The following is a 17,197-nucleotide window of genomic DNA, read 5'->3' as shown; positions in this document are numbered from 1 at the left end:
TTGAAAGGACAATACTAATGGATGTGATTTTGTAGAGTAGTGCTCACTTCCACAGCAGCAACAGTAACTTATGAACCTGTACACTTAAGGTTAGTGCACTTTAAGCCTCAAATTAAAAAAAAAAAACAAACTGGTTAAAGTTTGCCATTTCAACTATTTTATTTATTTATTTATTTATTTATTTATTTATTTATTTAGAGATGGAGTCTTGCTCTTGTCACCCAGGCTGGAGTGCAGTGGCACGATCTTGGCTCACTGCAACCTCCGCCTCCCGGGTTCAAGCGATTCTCCTGCCTCAGCCACCCAAGTAGCTGCGACTATAGGCACCCGCCACCACAACCGGCTAATTTTTGTATTTTTAGTAGAGACAGGGTTTCACCATGTTGGCCAGGCCGCTCAAACTCCTGACCTCAGGTAATCCACCCACCTTGGCCTCCCAAAGTGCTGGGATTACAGGTGTGAGCCACCGCACCCGGCCTCAACCATTTTAAAGTGTACAATTCAGTGGCATTAGGTATATGCACAATGTTATGCAACCACCACCACTTTCCATTTCCAGAATGTCATCATCCCAAAGAGAAACTCCCCTCCCCTCCTGCTCAGTCCCTGGTAATCTATATTCTACTTTGGATGGATTTGCCTACTGTAGCTACATCACATTAGTGTTTCTGTGTACTTTGAAGCCAGATTGGCAGAGAAAGAAAAATGGTAAGGAAATAGCTTCTTGAGATATTTGGCTGTGAATATAGTATATGTGGTAGCTGGAGGGGATAAGGGTGGGGTTTTGGCTTTATGTTTTAAGATGGTTGCAATTTGAACTTAAGAGTCAAAGTTGAGAGTTCCCAAGTCAGAAGGAAGTTGAATAACTGAGGCCTGCAAAGGCATGGTAAGATCAGCGACTGTGTTTTGGGGTGGGGAGAAGGGGGCACTGGAATAGAAGTTTGGGGTGAATTTATGAAGGGAATCTTTTGCCAGGATAAGTTTTAAACTTTAATAATATCACCACCAGGATTTGAGTACCTTTGCCAGGCACTGGGTTAGGTACTGGACATAATTCTCTTTTATAACCACCCAGCAAGACAGGTATTATTGGTATGAACTTATTCATACTTTTTTCTTTTTTGAGACAGAGTCTTGTTCTGTCACCCAGGCTGGAGTGCAATGGTGCCATCTCGGCTCACCGCAACCTCCGCCTTCTGGGTTCAAGAGATTCTCCTGCCTCAGCCTCCCGAGTAGCTGGGACTACAAGTGTGTGCCACCACACCCAGCTAATTTTTGTATTTTTAGTAGAGACAGGGTTTCATCATGATGGTCAGGCTGATCTCTAACTCCTGACATCGTGATCCACCCACTTCAGCCTCCCGAAGTGTCAGGATTACAGGCATGAGCCACTGCACCCAGCCTGTTCATACCAGTTTTATTGGTATGAACTCAGTTTGAGAGAATTTGCCAAAGACCAGTTTTTAGTGGATAGGCTCAAAATATTTGAAACATAACCAACTTTGTGAATGTCTGTATGAGAAGGCAAACAATTTTGGCCCTTTAAGCTCAGGTTGGAGTGTTACTGGCTTCACTGAGTGTCTCTGGGCAGCCTTAAAGATGCTGAAGGGTGGGGGTGGGAGGGTTTGGAGAAGAAATTAGGAGGTGCAGAAAGAACAGGAGATGGCCAAAGTCAGCCTAGTTTGGTTAAGAAAAAAATTTGGCCATGCCTTTGGTAAACCGGGGGGAGGCCTGTCATGGACTTCAGGCCATGTACTAAAGGATCTATTGGACCAGGCCTAGGATTGGCTGTGCAAAGCAAACAGCAGGCAGATAATCATGCTTAAGAGTGCAGGGAGGGCTGGGCGTGGTGGCTCACGCCTGTAATCCCAGCATTTTGGGAGGCTGAGGTGGGTGGCTTACTTGAGGTCAGGGGTTAGAGGCCAGCCTGGCCAACTGGGCAAAACCCCACCCGACTCTACTAAAAATACAAAAATGGCAGGGTGTGGTGGCTCATGCCTGGCCTCAGCACTTTGGGAGGCTGAGGCGGGCGGATCACTTAAGGTCAGGAGTTGGCCAACATGGTGAAACCACGCCTCTACTAAAAATACAAAAATTAGCTGGGTGTGGTGGTGGGGGGTGGGGTGCCTGTAATCCCAGCTACTCAGGAGAATTGCTTGAACCCAGACAGCGGAGGTTGTGGTGAGCAGAGATCGCACCACTGTGCTGGGCGATAGAGTAAGCAAGACTCTGTCTCAAAAAAAAAAAAAAAAAAAAAGGCCGGGTGCAGTGGCTCACACCTGTAACCCCAGCACTTTGGGAGGTCGAGGCGGGCGGATCATGAGGTCAGTAGATCGAGACCATCCTGGCTAACATGGTGAAACCCTGTCTCTACTAAAAATACTAAAAATTAGCAAGGCGTGGTGACATGCCCCTGTAGTCCCAGCTACTTGGGAGGCTGAGGCAGGAGAACTGCTTAAACCTGGGAGGTGGAGGTTGCAGTGAGCCGAGATCACGCCACTGCACTCCAGCCTAGGCAACAGAGTGAGACTGTGTCTCAGAAAAAAAAAAAAAAAAAGAGTGCAGGGAAAACATGGGCAGCAAGTGGCCACAGACCTGGTGAAACCACTGCTACAAATGGGCAACACCCTCAGGAGACTAGCCAATGCTCTTGGGAGACAGAGGGACTAGCCACAGGACTCTTAAAGAGTAGCAGAAAAATATTCTAGATTAAGTCAGAATATCTTGGACTTGTTAACTAAATTAGTTCAATAATGATCAACTGACATATCTAGGTTAAAAGGCTATTTTCATTCCTCAATGTTACAGTCAGAATATTTACAGAAGTATTTATTTTAAAAGTAGACTTAAAAAAGAAAAGTAATTTAGATTAAAAGATCCAAGGTGTATTGTTTCATGTAGGTGTTACTGCTACCTATACTTTCACCCCATTTATTAAGCCCAAAACACTTCAAGCAACTTCAGGTTCATAAATTAATAAGGAGGTACAGAAGCCCAACCAGGATGGGAAAGAATGTGTTTCAGGTTAGAAGGGGACAGCATGGCTCCTCAATGATGTCTTGTATGGAACATTTGTGCTCCACTGTAATGAAGATTTTCTTCCTGAAAATCTGAATGTGACATTTTAGATCCTCTGGTTGTTGGTTTAGTCTCCCGATTGTAATGGTGTGCTGAAGTCAGGTGGTTGACTAGAAGGTCAATCCAAGCTCCTAGGCTCCCCTCTCTTGTAGGCCTCAATTATCCACCTGTGAGGCTCAGGAGGGCTGACCAACCTGAAGGTTGGGAAAACTTGCTTAAATGAGGAATTGCCATTTCAGCATAAACTGTCCTTAAGTCTACTGTAGAAATTGTTTTCATTCTGGAGATGGTGAGTCCCAGAAGATCATGGCCAAGATGATGTCCTAAGTAGCTTCCTCTGAGATTTTATGCCCAAGAGGGAGCCATCTGGCCACTTGCTTCTTCTTACATTTCTAATAGCTGCTCCATTTCCTTAAGGGCTGTTGTTAAATCATTTACTTGATTGTTACATAAGGTTTGCTGTTCTAGGAATCGGACTCTTTCCTCTTTCATCTCCAGCTTTACCTTTAAGGCCTGCATGGAAAGACATTCCAAAAGAAAACAACACATACACAAAACTCTTGACTAACAGGAAACACAATTCCCACATCAGAACATTATGCTCCTATTCCACTAAGGAAGACCACTGGAGTATCAACAGACTGTATCTTCTATTTTAGATTTTATTTCTATGCACTGGTTTTAGGAATTGTCCCTCTAGTAGTAGAGAGGGACTAGACTCCTGTATCTAAACTGGAACGATGAAATCCTCTACATTTGGTGCAATATCCCATGATTCATCCAAGCAATCTGAAACAGTCCAGACCAAAGAATCTGTGCTTACTACAGGTCTTCTCCTTGAGTTATCAAGTTTCCATAGAATGGATTACATATAGTTCTCAATTCCCAACTCTGAGCAACCTACTGTGTTACACATTGCCTCATGCCTTGGTGATGTGAACATTTGCAAGAAGCCTCGGTAACAGAAAAAAAAAAATTAGTGGAAAAAACTGCTAAAATCCAAATGAAGACTTGGAATATAGTTAATAGTAATGTACTGATGTTGGTCTGTTTTTTAAAAAATTTTTTTCCTGCCGGGTGCAGTGGCTCACACCTGCAATCTCAGCACTTTGGGAAGCCTAGGCGGGCAGATCACCTGAGGTCAGGAGTTCGAAACCAGCCTGGCCAACACAGTGAAACCCTGTCTCTACTAAAAATATAAAAATTAGCCGGTCATGGTCGCAAATGCCTGTAATCCCAGCTACTTGGGAGACTGAGGCAAGAAAATCGCTTGAACCCGGGAGGCGGAGGTTGCAGTGAGCCGAGATCACGCCATTGCACTCCAGCCTGGGGGACAACAGTGAGACTTTATCTCCTTGCCCTCCTGGGCCCAAGTGGTCTTCTTGCCTCAGCCTCCTGAGCAGCTGGGACTACAGGTATGTACCACCACGCCTGGCTATTTTCTAAATTTTATTTTGTAGAGATGGGGTCTTGTTATGTTTCCCAGGCTGGTCTCAAACTCCTGGCTTCAAGTAATCCTTCCACCTCAGCCTCCCAAAGTGCTGGGATTATAGGCGTGAGCCACCATGCCTGGCTGATTTCTTAGTTTTGACAAATGTACCAGGATAATGTAAGATGTTACTATTGGGGGTGGAGGAGGAAGTGCATCAAGAAGAATAGCTAATGGATGCTGGGCTCAATACCTAGGTGATGGGATGATCTGTGCAGCTAACCACCATGGCACACGTTTACCTGTGTAACAAGCCTACACACCCTGTACGTGTACCCCTGAACTTAAAAGTTGGAAAAAAAAAAACACGTTACTATCAGGGTAAATTTTCTGTATTATCTTTGTAACTTTCCTATAAATCTAAAATTATTTAGAAAGTTTATTAAAAATAAATAGAAAAACAGAAAAGACCCCACTATAAATCTACCTATCATGGTAGGAAATGGTCAGGGTGATGTCTGCCTCTCACCTGTAACTCCTCCATCTGCTTTTTGGCTGTTTCGTTAAAAAGCTTCAGCTCCTCTTGCAAAGTTTCTAACAGCAACTAAGAGGAAAGCACAATGTAGTAAACAAATCTTCATATAAAACCAGACTTGCATTAGATGATGGCTAACATCCTTTCCACACAGTTCTCAACAAAGGAGTCAGGAGAGAAATTTGATAAAGTATAGAACAGAAGAACGAGAAAGCTCTCTCTACAGGTTTACCTATTATGTGTTTTAAATTTTCAATTCAGACTCACTTATATTTGTAAGCACAAAGCTACCTTTCAAGTAAAATATGCTATTTTGAGTACACATCCCATTTCTCTTTTCTAGCATCACAGATAATCAAAGGCTGTTTCTTGGAGTTTATGGAATATATAGCAGAGACCTTCTTAGATTTACAGAGCCCCACAGTCACTCAGCCCTTGCGCCCTTTCACACCCATGCCCTCACCATAGAGTCCATGTGATCAGTAGTGGATTCTTGTCGTGATGCCAGGGTCTCACTGCCTAAAGCTGATGGATACAACAAAGTCAATCTCACTTAGGGAACTACACACCCTAAACAAAAGAAAATAAAAACCCTCCGTGGACAAGTACAGAAATATTCATGAGGGGAATTTCTCTTAAGTGTCTCATCCTGGACTTTCTCCTAAGTTTTCACCTTGGCAGGGTCACCCATATCTGCCCTGCAAAACTGTATTTTATCTCCTTTCAATCTAGGTTTTGATATGGCCAAAAATTCGGTATACTTTCTCCTTAGGTCAGTGGACAATTTGTCCAAAGGAAATGTATAGGTTGGATTTTTTTTGGTTTTGTTCACAATTCACAAAGCTATTTTTAAGAGCCTTTCAGGCCTTAAAAAATTATTACTTTCGGTAATATCACATGCATGTAATAAACTAAAATCATACAAAATATTTATGGTGTCGGATGTGGTGGTGCACACCTGTAGTCCCAGCTATTTGGGAGGATTGCTTGAGCCCAGGAGTTGGAGGCCAGCCTGGGCAACATAGCGAGATCCCATCTCAAAAAAATAAACAATTTTAAATTTAAAAACATATATATTTATGGTGACTATAAAGAATATCCTAGGCTGGGCATGGTAACTCATGTCTGTAAACCCAGCACTCTGGGAGGCCGAGACAGGCAGATCACTTGAGGTCAGGAGTTTGAGACCAGCCTGACCAACATGGCAAAACCCCATCTCTACTAAAAATACAAAAATTAGCTGGGTGTGGTGGTACACGCCTGTAATCCCAGCTACTCAGGAGGCTGAGGCAGGAGAATCACTTGAACCCAGGAGGAGGAGGTTTCAGTGAGCCGAAATCACACCTCTGCACTTCAGCTTGGGCAATGGAATGAGACTTCATCTCAAAAAAAAAAAAAGAATATCCTCAACTGTAACCTAAAGATTAACCAGTAACATTCAAAGTCAGTATTCCTTAATACAAAAAGGCCTGGGCCCCTTTCCTGGGCATTCTCTGGCTCTTTGACTCAGTCTGAGGCCCTCTTACAGTCTTTGGGCAATTCCTTCTTCTGCTCTCTTTGCTACAGATACTGCTTTCTGGGGGACAGGGTCAGAATAGTAGTCATATTTTAGTCACTGTAATTCTGATGATTAACCAGGTTTAAGAATGCTTGAAATAGTATTTTCTTTCTCTTCCCATTTGGGATTACTAGTATGCTTGAAAGGAAGAGCATGTTCAAACAAAATGTTCCTTTCAAGCACACTAGTAACTTTCCCAAATAGGAAGAGACAGAAAATGTTCTCCCTTGAAAGGAACAAAGTGTTTCTCATCTATTTGCAAGGTCATACCTGTTGGCACTAAATGAATGGCATAAAGTGTTCAGGTAAGAAAGAGATAACCCTCTCTCTATAATCATCTGAAATCCTATTGGCCAGGCAAAAATCAACATCACATGAAAACAAACAGAAGCTTTCCAAAATCTTTAGGGCTTTATGAAAGTAACCCCTGCACATACTGGGCCAGCTGATGCCATGCTGCCAAGATCAACCCCGGAAGGGGCACATGCACCAATTCCTTCAAAGGAGGCTAGCTGTGTGCTGTCTCTTACCTGGATCAAGGCCCTTGCTCTCCAAAATTGCCAAACAGTTGTCCCGAAACTTCTCCAGCAGCTCTACCTTCTGGGTCAGGTCCTTCAGCTCTCCCTATTGGAGCACAGCACAGACAGATCAGGAATTGTCCAACTCCCTAGGGGTGGTTGCCCTTTCTTGCCCTTGCTCTTGGACAGCCATAGCAAAAGCCTGGCTTTTTTTTTCTGCCCTTGGGCATCTGTGCATTAACAAGCTTGCTCATCCAAGGGGCCACCCATCAGGATTCCATGTGGATCGCCCAGTGGCAGCTGGTAACAGAGCTCTGGTGGGTCTCTTACCTGAGTTTCAGTCAACTTCTGGTGCAACTGCTTGTTGACGGCTTCTAACAGCTGGTTCTTGTCCTTGAGCTCTTCCTCTGATTTTTGCTTACTCAGTGGTTTGTAGCTGTAATAATAGTTGTACTTACATGAAAAGATAAAAGGGTTAACAGTATGGCCCACACCAGGTGCGGTAGCTCATGCCTGTAATCCCAGCACTTTGGGAGGCTGAGGCAGGCAGATCACCTGAGGTCGGGAAATCAAGACCAGCCTGACCAAGATAAGAGAAACCCTGTCTCTACTAAAATTACAAAAGATTAGTCAGGCGTGGTGGCGCATGCCTGTAATCCCAGGTATTTGGGAGGCTGAGGCAGGATAATCGCTTGAACCCAGGAGGCGGAGGTTGTGGTGAGCTGAGATTGCGCCATTGCACTCCAGCCTGGGTGGCAACAAGAGCAAAACTCCGTCTAAAAAAAAAAGAAAGAAAAATACGGCCTACAGAGTTACACAAACACGTCCCATTCTATCCTGGCTATTACACAGTGGTATATGACCTTCAGTGAGTTGCATAACCTCCCTGAGGCCTTGTTTCCTCATTTTTGAAATCAGGACAATACCCACATCTCATAGTATTATTATTATGAGTAATAAGAGAGAAAACACGTGTGCATTTCTTAGCCCAGTAGCTGGGCTATTATCTAATGTTAGTTTATCATCTAATAAACTCTAATATCACCAATTGTTGGGAGCAGGCCCCCCAAATCTGGCCATAAACTGGCCCCAAAACTGGCCATAAACAAAATCTCTGCAGCACTGTAACATGTTCATAAAGGCCCTAATGCCCATGCTGGAAGGTTGTGGGTTTACGGGAATGAGGGCTAGGAACACCTGGCCTGCCAAGGGCGGAAAACCACTTAAAGGCATTTTTTTTTTTTTTTGAGATGGAGTCTCGCTCCGTCGCCCAGGCTGGAGTGCAGTGGCGTGGTCTCGGCTCACTGCAAGCTCCACCTCCTGGGTTCACACCATTCTCCTGCCCCAGCCTCCCGAGTAGCTGGGACTACAGGCACCCGCCACCATGCCTGGCTAATTTTTTGTATTTTTAGTAGAGACGGTGAAACACCATAGTTAACCAGGATGGTCTCCTGACCTTGAGATCCACCCGCCTCGGCCTCCCAAAATCCTGGGATTACAGGCGTGAGCCACTGCGCCGGCCCTTAAAGGCATTCTTAAGCCACAAACAATAGCATGAGCAATCTGTGTCTTAAGAGCGTGTTCCTGCTGCAGTTAACTAGCCCAACCTATTCCTTTAATTCAGCCCATCCATTTCCCATAAGGGATACTTTTAGTTAATTTACTATCTATAGAAACAATGCTAATGACTGGTTTGCTGTTAATAAATACGTGGGCAAATCTCTGTTCGGGGCTCTCAGCTCTGAAGGCTGTGAGACCCCTGATTTCCCACTTCACACCTCTATATTTCTGTGTGTGTGTCTTTAATTCCTCTAGCGCCGCTGGGTTAGGGTCTCCCCGACCAAGCTGGTCTCAGCAACCAATATTAGAGTTTTTTCTTAAAGTTCTCAGTCTTTTTTGCTAGTATTTTGTCTTCAAAACTTTTTTATTTTTGTAAGTCAGAGTCTTGCTCTGTCACCCAGGCTGGAATGCAATGACGTGATCTTGGCTCACTGCAATCTCTGCCTCCCGGGATGAAGTGATCCTCCTGCCTCAGCCTCCTGAGTAGCTGGGATTACAGACATGCGCCACCATGCCTGGCTAATTTTTGTATTTTTAGTAGAGATGGGGTCCCATCATGTTTCCCAGGCTAGACTCGAACTCCTGACCTCAGGTGATCCACCCACCTTGGCCTCCCAAAGTGTTGCGATTACAGGTGTGAGCTGGTGTGCCCTGCTGTCTTCAAAACTTTTAAGATATGCCCAAATAATAGATCTGGAACTAAAACCTATTTGTACAGACTTTTCAGCTTATTATTTCTATTTCTGATAGTGCAAAACTTCCAAACTAGCCTCAAAGATGAGACATGAATCCTTCTCCAGGTTTTCACCACCACCACCACCAGAATCTTCATCTCGAGATCACTAACTACATACACCCAGCCCTTCCTCTCCTGAAGGCTTTACCCTCCTGTTGATGGGCCATAGCTAAGTGTGATTTCCAATCAGCAGTGGTCCTGGCGTGGAGTCCAAAAAGCTCTTGCTTGAGACACAAGATAGTAGCACCAGTGATTCTTGCACTGACAATGGTTCTTACACCTAGCTGTGCCTCACCCCTGAAAATTCCACTCAGGTTCCTGAGGTGGAACCCAGACCCTAACACAGTAAACAAGTCCCACAAATGATTCTGATGCAGAACCAAGGATTGAGATCCACTACCCTAGAATAGTGGCCAAGTTGATTTACCCTGATGCTCACCCTTTTCTGACATTCCTTCTGGTGGCAGTGTCAGTAGCTTTCATTTGCCTAGGAGGGCAGAAACAAAGAAATGAATCAGAGACTTACAGTACTGTTAAGTGTGCTGTGAACAGGCAGAACAAAGAGCTTGAGTTTCTGAGGAAAGAACCAGACATAAAAGGCAAATGGCACAAGCTTAAGAGCTCTGAGAGACTATGCATTACTGCTTCGGCACAGATTATTGAAAAGGCTTTTTAGTAGCAAAGGGGCATGCCTCCGACCACCCTAACAACCTGACAGAGCTGTTCCTCTCAAGATGGCGTGGCTATCTCATGTCAACCTCACTCACCTGGAACTGACTGCTGGCTGGGGACATACACACACACTAGGGCTGGACTGTGTGGTCAGAGCAGCAACCTAGGATAACAACTAGTCCCCACCCTGCATGACTACCCCTCAGGGTTGCTGTATGACTACAGTGCTGCCACTTGTATGCTCAGAGCAAGCGATGAAAGAGGAAAGAACACCTCTTATAACTCTGGCTGTGTCTCTTCAGAAAGATCAACACAGAGGGTTCTGGCACAGAGCTCAGCAATGCTGCACTGCTCTGGGCCACTGATTGAAGGCCAGTTGTTCAGGAGACTTGTGTTGTCCAAAACTCTGTTTTCTAATTCTTTGTATTGAGCAATTTCTAGGAAGATGTTCTAACTGGATACTAATGATCCGTTCTCACCCATTCTCTCGTCTCAGTTTGGTGATTTTTGTAACATCATTCTCTGGACCTCCTGAATGAAGCTGTTTGGAAACATCGACTTCTTTGGACCTAACAGGTAAGAGACTCTTAGAAGTGGCCCGAGTTTGTGTGTCTGCAAAGGAAAATGAGAGGTAAAGCTTCTGGCATCATGACCCGACAGTTGCAACCCTGTAACAAACAGAGCCCCATTCGAAGTTGTCATAAATCTTTATTTTACTTTATTTTAAAAAGTATTATTTATTTTTTTGAGACAGAGTCTTGCTCTGTGGCCCAGGCTGGAGTACAGTGGTGTGATCTTGGCTCACTGCAACCTCCACCTCTTGGGTTCAAACGATTCTCCTGCCTCAGCCTCCCGAGTAGCTGGACTATAGGCACCTCAAATATGTTTTAAAATTTTAAAAATAGAGACAGGGTCTCACTATGTTGCCCAGCCTGGTCTCGAACTCCTGGGCTCAAGCAATCCTCCTGCCTTGGCCACTCTGGCGTGAGCCACGATGCCTGGCCAAATCTTTATTTTCATTCTGGCAAATTTCAACATGTGAAGATTAATTCAAAAGAATAAAACTTCCAGGCTAATTGGCAATAAAAACCAAAATTATTTAAACGTGACAGTACAGCATGTTTGAGGGTAGCCAAAAGTTTCATTGAACTGAAAGGTGTAGGCTGTAAAAGTGAACATGGAGATGGACACCAGCAGAGAGCAGGGTGGAAGTTAGCAGGTAAAACATGCCTGAATCCTTGTACCATCTCATTAAGCTCCTCCAAGCACTCTGCACACTCTCCTAAGGCATGACTGAGCTGCTCTGAGTTTTTTTAAACCGTTACTTCGTTGTTTTTACTAGAATGTCTTCCTAACCATTCTAAGGCATCTTTGTGTCCCCATCACCTAGGAAAGTATCTGGCATATGAACAGGGGTTCAATAACTGCTTGTTGAATAAATGAAACACTTCACAGTTCCATGGGTTGTTTCACAGACCATCTCTAAACCACCTGTCTGGTCCCTTCCTCTTCCATGCTGCCTGCCTCTACCACTAGCCCTTTTGTTTACCCTTTGTTAAGTTTAGAGTTTCCCTATTAGGCATTCTAATCTGATCTTCTTGCCAGATAACCAGAGAAATGGCCCTGCCATAACACTCTTCTTCCCCAAAGGAGAGCATTTTCCTCTATCCTTGTGCCAGCCCCGCAACCACACAATCTATCATTTGTGTTCTACAGCAAATTCAAGTAACTTATCTGGAGTTAAGCACCCCCACCCTCACATGCAGGCTTTTCTGGACTTACTCTCACTTTGTTCACTGTAAAATGGCCCCTTTAAGTTTGACCTAACTTAAGAGCCATTACAATCAAATCAAATTGAAGAAATGCAGTACAAATGAAGTATTAAAAGGGTTCTTTCTGAGGTGTCTGTCTGAAGAAAAAGGTAATCTTGGAGGAATATCATCTTCTCCTCTCTCAAGTATTAGTAAGTTTTAAACAATAACAAATCTACTCCATGTAAAATGGAGTTAACAGTCAATTGATCAAAATTAACACTCTTCATTGACTAGAATTGGTTCCAATAATTTGTATTTGCTAAAATCTAGGATTGCACTGTAGGAAAAATTCAGTAGGATTTAACAAAGCTGTCTCTTAAAAATGGGAGACACTGGGAGAGGAACTGGATGGCTGGTGTCAAGGAAGGGAAGGAAACTTGTTTATCATTGTATATGGTTTTCCACCTTTTTTTTTTTCACATGTGCATATATTACTTATCCAGCCCACGCTCAAAATCAAAACAAAAATCCTGGGAGGCAGCCTAAAAATTTGAAACTGTTCCAGTTACATATGATCATAAAGCTGGGACAGAGATAGAAATCAAAGAGATGAACACTTCCAACTTGGCTGAGAGAGCTAGTCACTGCCCACTGACTCAGGGGCACCGCATCTAAGGGAAAGACACAGCAGCTGAGAGACCTGGCTCCAGTTCTTCCAGCAACTCCTAGTCCCCGCTGGTGCCAGGATTACCATTCAGGTGTTCTGCGGCAACACAAGACAACAAACAACCCATTAAGCCTTTGGAGAAAAGCCTATTTACTTCAGAGCTCAATCTTTTTTTTTTTGAGACGGAGTCTCGCTCTGTCGCCCAGGCTGGAGTGCAGTGGCGCAATATCGGCTCACTGCAAGCTCCGCCTCCCGGGTTCACGCCATTCTCCTGCCTCAGCCTCCCAAGTAGCTGGGACTACAGGCGCCCGCCACCACGCCCGGCTAAGTTTTTGTATTTTTTAGTAGAGACGGTGCTTCACCGTGTTAGCCAGGATGGTCTCCATCTCCTGACCTCGTGATCTGCCCACCTCGCCCTCCCAAAGTGCTGGGATTACAGGCGTGAGCCACCGTGCCTGGCCACTTCAGCGCTCCATCTTGCCAAGGTTTATGTACCAGCTGAGTGGAATCATCTGGGAAGGGATCATAAATAGCTACTCCATAATCTCCCACAACAGTTTTCTGATGTCTGAAGCTTACTCTGTACTATAATCTCTAGATTAGGCAGTTCCCCGACTGCAGACCCCATGAGATGACTTTCAACCACAAGCAAAGCAACACAAAGCAGATGGCAAAGCAATTAAAAACTATTTTTAATCATGTCTCTCTCTTCGCCCAAGTTTCTCAAATACTGTGCCTAGGTCTAACCCCTCTCTCCCACTTCACTCAACAAACGTGTATTGAGAATGTGGTAATGAGAAACACGGTGCAGATATAAAGGTGAACAAAGAACCCTAAGTATCCCACTTCTCAAATGATTCTCCTCTTTCCTCCCTGAAAACAAACCCAATCCCTCAAGATAGCCCAAGTCTGGAAATAAGACGATAACCGATTAGAAGGGGATTCCTAGCTTAATGGGAATAACATTGTACAATAACCAACAACTTGAATCTAACTGATGAATACAGTACACATGCGGGCAGAAAAGTGCAGAGCACGTCTAAAATCCTACCACATGGTCCTTCCCTTAACTCCCATCATAAACCTACATAGCCTGGTTATAGGGGGCTCACAGGTTTTCAGGGCCGACGGGACGCCCTTCCCCGTGCCCGCGCCACCCATTCGATCTCCACACTCCCGAGACCATCCCCGGCCAGGCCGCAGTGCCCCGGGCGTGGCTTGGACCCTCACCTGCCGGCTGGCCGCCGCTCAGCGCAGAGGGGGGCTGCAGGCTATACACTGTCTTAACCACACTGGTCATCGTAACGAGGCGGCACGGCTGAACCCTGGAAGGTACAGGATGAATGTTACCCAGCGCTGGGCCACTGGGCCCGAGAGAGTGGAGGGCCCGGGGATAGCGCGACCCGACAGGCCCCGGCTCGGGGTTGGAAAAGAGAAAATCCTCCTTTCCCAGCTCATTCCGTCCTTCCTCCCATCCAGCCCAGTCCCTCGCCCCGGGAGAGCCGAACCCAGGAGCCCGCCGGTCCTGCCCGCAGTCCTTCTCGCTCTCGTTTAAAAGATTCCCTGCAGCAACTGTCGTGCCACCGGCTAAGTCGGCCGCCTGGGTTTCAAATAGAAACTTCCGGTAGCTAGGCGGAAGTGGGTGGGAATCGCACTCTGTAGACAGCCATGTTGTACGGAAAACTCTGTCCAGGGGCGGGGCTTCGGGAGCCGCCATACTGTACGGAAGGTTCGCTCAGAGGCCAGAGCCAGACCTAGCGAAAGGTGTTGGAGCCCCCAGGTCTGGGCAGAGGAGGAGGGTGATGCAATTTGTAGGCTTGAATGGAGCTAATGAGCTACCAGCGTCATATTCCGGGATGGAGACGCAAACGTGGCGACATTTAGGGTCCATGTCACAATCCTCTTTATTTAGTTTGGGATTGTTAGGGATATTGCCAGGAGCACAGGTTATTTGGATGAAAACTACACGTTACAGGTGGAGAGTGGCAGGTGAGGCTTGAAGAAAAGGACCTATGGGCTGAGATACCTGAGGCACCTACCTGAGGTCCTAATTTTAATAGCACTTATCCAGATTTTCAGTAGTGATTCAAAGCTACTCCCAATAAACAGGGTAGCTTCCATTACTAAATGCACTAGCTCATTCATTTCATCTGGCATTTATTGAGTACCTGCTGATTACCCAACAGTGTTCTCAGTGGGTGGAAGGGAGTGAGGGAGGGCAAATATCAAGATTGACCTTGGCTCTGCCCTCCTGGAGTTTACAACTTAGAAAACAGACAGTGAACAAATAATCACATAAATAAATATATATTTACGGATTGTGGTGAAATTGTGAAGAAGGCTGGGCACAGTGGCTCACAGCTGTAATTATAGCACTTTGGGAGGTGGAGGCGGGTGAATTGCTTGAGTCCAGGAGTTTGAGACCACCCTGGGCGACATGGTGCAACCCCGTCTCTACAAAAAATACAGAAATTAGCCAGGTGTCGTGGCATGCTCCTGTAGTCCCAGCTACCCTGGAGGCTGAGGTGGGGGAATTATGTGACCCTGGGCGGGGCAGAGGTTGCAGTGAGCGGAGATCGCGCCACTGCACTTCACCCTGGGTGACAGAGCGTGATCTCAAAAATCAAACCAAAACACACACACTATGAAGAAAAAGTACAAAATCGTATAAGATAGAAAAGCAGGGAAACTTAGATTATATTGGGGGCTCAGGGAAGACCTCTCTGAGATGATGTTTGATTAAGGAAGGAGAGGGAGTTAATTTCATTGGGGAAAGGGGAAAATGCAAAGTCCCAAGGCAGAAATGGGTTCTTCTATAGGCACAGAAAGATAGGAAGAGAGTGGTACAGATAAAGCTGGAGAAATAAGCAGTCAAAAGACAGATTTTACAGGCCAAGGTATAGAGATTAGATTTTATCTAAAAGTAATGGAAAGCCACTGAAGTATTATAGCAGGAGAGTGTCATCCAATTTATATTTTATTTTATTTTATTATTATTTTTTGAGACAGGGTCTCACTCTGTTGCCCAGGCTGGAGTGCAATCATAGTTCACTGCAACCTTGAACTCCTGGGCTCAGGAGATCCTCCCACCTCGGCCTCCTGAGTAGCTAAGACTAAAGGTGCCTGCCACCAGACCCAGCTAATTTTTGTAGAGATGGGGTCCTGCTATGATGCCCAGGCTGGTCTTAAACCCCTGGCCTCAAATGATCCTCCCACTTCAGCCTCCCAAAGTGTTGGAATTACAGGCATGAGCCACTGTACCTGGCTCAATTTATATATACTTTATATATATATTCTTTTCTTTCTTTTTTTTTTTGGAGACGGAGTCTCACTCTGTTGCCCAGGCTGGAGTGCAGTGGCACGATCTCGGCTCACTGCAACCTCCGCCTCCTGAGTTAAAGCGATTCTCCTGCCTCAGTCTCCCGAGTAGCTGGGTCTACAGTGCCACCACCACGCTTGGCTAATTTTTTATATTTTTAGTAGAGACGGGGTTTCACCATGTTGGCCAGACTGGTCTCAAACTCCTGACCTCAGGTGATCTGCTCGCTTCGGCCTCCCAAAGTACTGGGATTACAGGCGTGAGCCACCACGCCCAGTCCTTTTTCTTTTCGAATAATTGGGCTTGAATAATTGTGTGGATAGAGTCACTATTTTCTGCTGGGGGAGATTGAGAGTTGGGTTTTGAACGTGGAAAACCTCGACATATCTTTGAGGCATTCCGGTGGAGTGGTCAAGTAGGCAATTGGAAATACAGGCCCTGAGCCCAGAAGAGAGCCTGGATTGGAGATACACCCTTGGGAGTTGTTGACATATGAATGTACTTAAAATCTTGATATTTAGGAGTTCGAGACCAGCCTGGCCAACATGATGAAACCCCGTCTCTGCTAAAAATACAAAAAAATGGCCAGGCACAGTGGCTCACACCTGTAATCCCAGCACTTTGGGAGGCTGAGGTGGGATCACTTAAGGCCAGAAATTCGAAACCAGCCTGGCCAACATGGTGAAACTCCATCTCTACTAAAAATACAAAAAACTAGCCAGGCATGGTGGTGCATGCCTGTAATCCCAGCTACTTGGGAGGCTAAGGCAGGAGAATGACTTGAACCTCAGAGGTGGAGGTTGCAGTGAGCCGAGATGGTGCCACTGTACTCCAGCCTGGGTGACAGAGCGAGACTCTGTCTCAAACAAAATAAAATAAAAAATAAAATAAAACCTTGATATTTGATGAGCTCAAGAGAAGAAGTGTGCAGAGAGCCTTTGGGCCAAGGACAGGGACACCTGCATTTAAAAGTTGCAATGGTAATAAGGTGCTTGCCAAGAAACCTGATAAAGAAGTGCCAGAGAGGTGAGAAGAAAACAAAAAAGGGTGGTGTTCCAAAATCCAAGGAGGAAGTGGCAAGCTGCTGAAGGAGGGAGTGGTGAACTATTGAAAATAGTTGAAAGGGCAAGCAGAATGAGAACGAAAAGCATCCAATGAATTTAGCAACAGAGAAGTCATGATGAGTCTAGCAAGAGGAATGCTGGTGGAGCGTTTGGAGTGGCAGTCACATGGGCATGGGTTGAAGAGTACGTGGGAGATGAGGAAGCAGAGATGGCAGAACTCCAGGCGTCTGTTGCAAAAAGAGCAGAGCAACTGGGCAGTAACTGGAGATGGGTTATGGGGGTCAAAGGAAGCTTTCCTTAAAGCTGT

General features: G+C 45.4%; 1 protein-coding gene across 3 annotated transcripts, besides 6 other annotated features; it reads right to left on the bottom strand.

Moving 5' to 3' along the window:
* Positions 1 to 2,771: 2,771 nt before the first annotated feature.
* KNSTRN (kinetochore localized astrin (SPAG5) binding protein) lies at positions 2,772 to 14,339 on the bottom strand. 3 transcript variants are annotated; one of them, NM_001142761.1, is made up of 9 exons: positions 14,016 to 14,339; positions 13,738 to 13,832; positions 10,566 to 10,698; positions 9,854 to 9,901; positions 7,449 to 7,554; positions 7,131 to 7,224; positions 5,506 to 5,567; positions 5,037 to 5,111; positions 2,772 to 3,867 (listed from the first exon to the last, which is right to left on the bottom strand). In NM_001142761.1, the coding sequence occupies exons 1-9, from the start codon at positions 14,222 to 14,224 to the stop codon at positions 3,829 to 3,831; spliced, it is 861 nt and encodes a 286-aa protein (NP_001136233.1). In that variant the 5' UTR covers positions 14,225 to 14,339; the 3' UTR covers positions 2,772 to 3,828. The 3 variants fall into 3 exon arrangements, with proteins under 3 accessions (NP_001136233.1, NP_150628.3, NP_001136234.1); NM_033286.4 differs by having other exon boundaries at positions 2,772 to 3,591; NM_001142762.1 differs by lacking the exon at positions 5,506 to 5,567 and having other exon boundaries at positions 2,772 to 3,591.
* Positions 13,261 to 13,782: an enhancer, noted in NCBI's record as "H3K27ac-H3K4me1 hESC enhancer chr15:40675479-40676000 (GRCh37/hg19 assembly coordinates)". NCBI's record gives its function as "activates a minimal SCP1, AML or CMV promoter by ChIP-STARR-seq in naive H9 embryonic stem cells {active_cell/tissue: H9 hESC(naive)}" and the evidence as "EXISTENCE:reporter gene assay evidence [ECO:0000049][PMID:30033119]".
* Positions 13,783 to 14,306: an enhancer, noted in NCBI's record as "H3K27ac hESC enhancer chr15:40674955-40675478 (GRCh37/hg19 assembly coordinates)". NCBI's record gives its function as "activates a minimal SCP1, AML or CMV promoter by ChIP-STARR-seq in naive H9 embryonic stem cells {active_cell/tissue: H9 hESC(naive)}" and the evidence as "EXISTENCE:reporter gene assay evidence [ECO:0000049][PMID:30033119]".
* Positions 13,783 to 14,335: a biological region, named in NCBI's record as "H3K27ac hESC enhancer GRCh37_chr15:40674955-40675478".
* Positions 13,848 to 14,017: an enhancer, noted in NCBI's record as "experimental_39392 CRE fragment used in MPRA reporter constructs". NCBI's record gives its function as "activates a minimal promoter by MPRAs in K562 erythroleukemia cells, with activity observed for the introgressed 15:40675329 variant allele {active_cell/tissue: K562}" and the evidence as "EXISTENCE:reporter gene assay evidence [ECO:0000049][PMID:34662402]".
* Positions 14,266 to 14,335: an enhancer, noted in NCBI's record as "active region_9240". NCBI's record gives its function as "activates an Ori minimal core promoter by ATAC-STARR-seq in GM12878 lymphoblastoid cells {active_cell/tissue: GM12878}" and the evidence as "EXISTENCE:reporter gene assay evidence [ECO:0000049][PMID:35858748]".
* Positions 14,961 to 15,461: an enhancer, noted in NCBI's record as "H3K27ac hESC enhancer chr15:40673800-40674300 (GRCh37/hg19 assembly coordinates)". NCBI's record gives its function as "activates a minimal SCP1, AML or CMV promoter by ChIP-STARR-seq in primed H9 embryonic stem cells {active_cell/tissue: H9 hESC(primed)}" and the evidence as "EXISTENCE:reporter gene assay evidence [ECO:0000049][PMID:30033119]".

This window comes from Homo sapiens, chromosome 15 (genome assembly GCF_000001405.40).
Source record: "Homo sapiens chromosome 15, GRCh38.p14 Primary Assembly".
Lineage (NCBI taxonomy): Eukaryota > Metazoa > Chordata > Mammalia > Primates > Hominidae > Homo > Homo sapiens.
This window is presented reverse-complemented; position numbering and strand designations above follow the sequence as displayed.

Bases quoted from the DNA above. Each gene is read 5' to 3' on its own strand.
- KNSTRN (NM_033286.4), bottom strand. From the start codon at position 14,224: ATGGCGGCTCCCGAAGCCCCGCCCCTGGACAGAGTTTTCCGTACAACA. The intron at 7,555-9,853 runs GTGAGCATCAGG...CTATTATTACAG, and splicing joins AGAAGGAATGTCAGAAAAGG to CTACAAACCACTGAGTAAGC. The intron at 3,592-5,036 runs GTGAGAGGCAGA...CTTTCCATGCAG, and splicing joins AGCAGATGGAGGAGTTACAG to GCCTTAAAGGTAAAGCTGGA.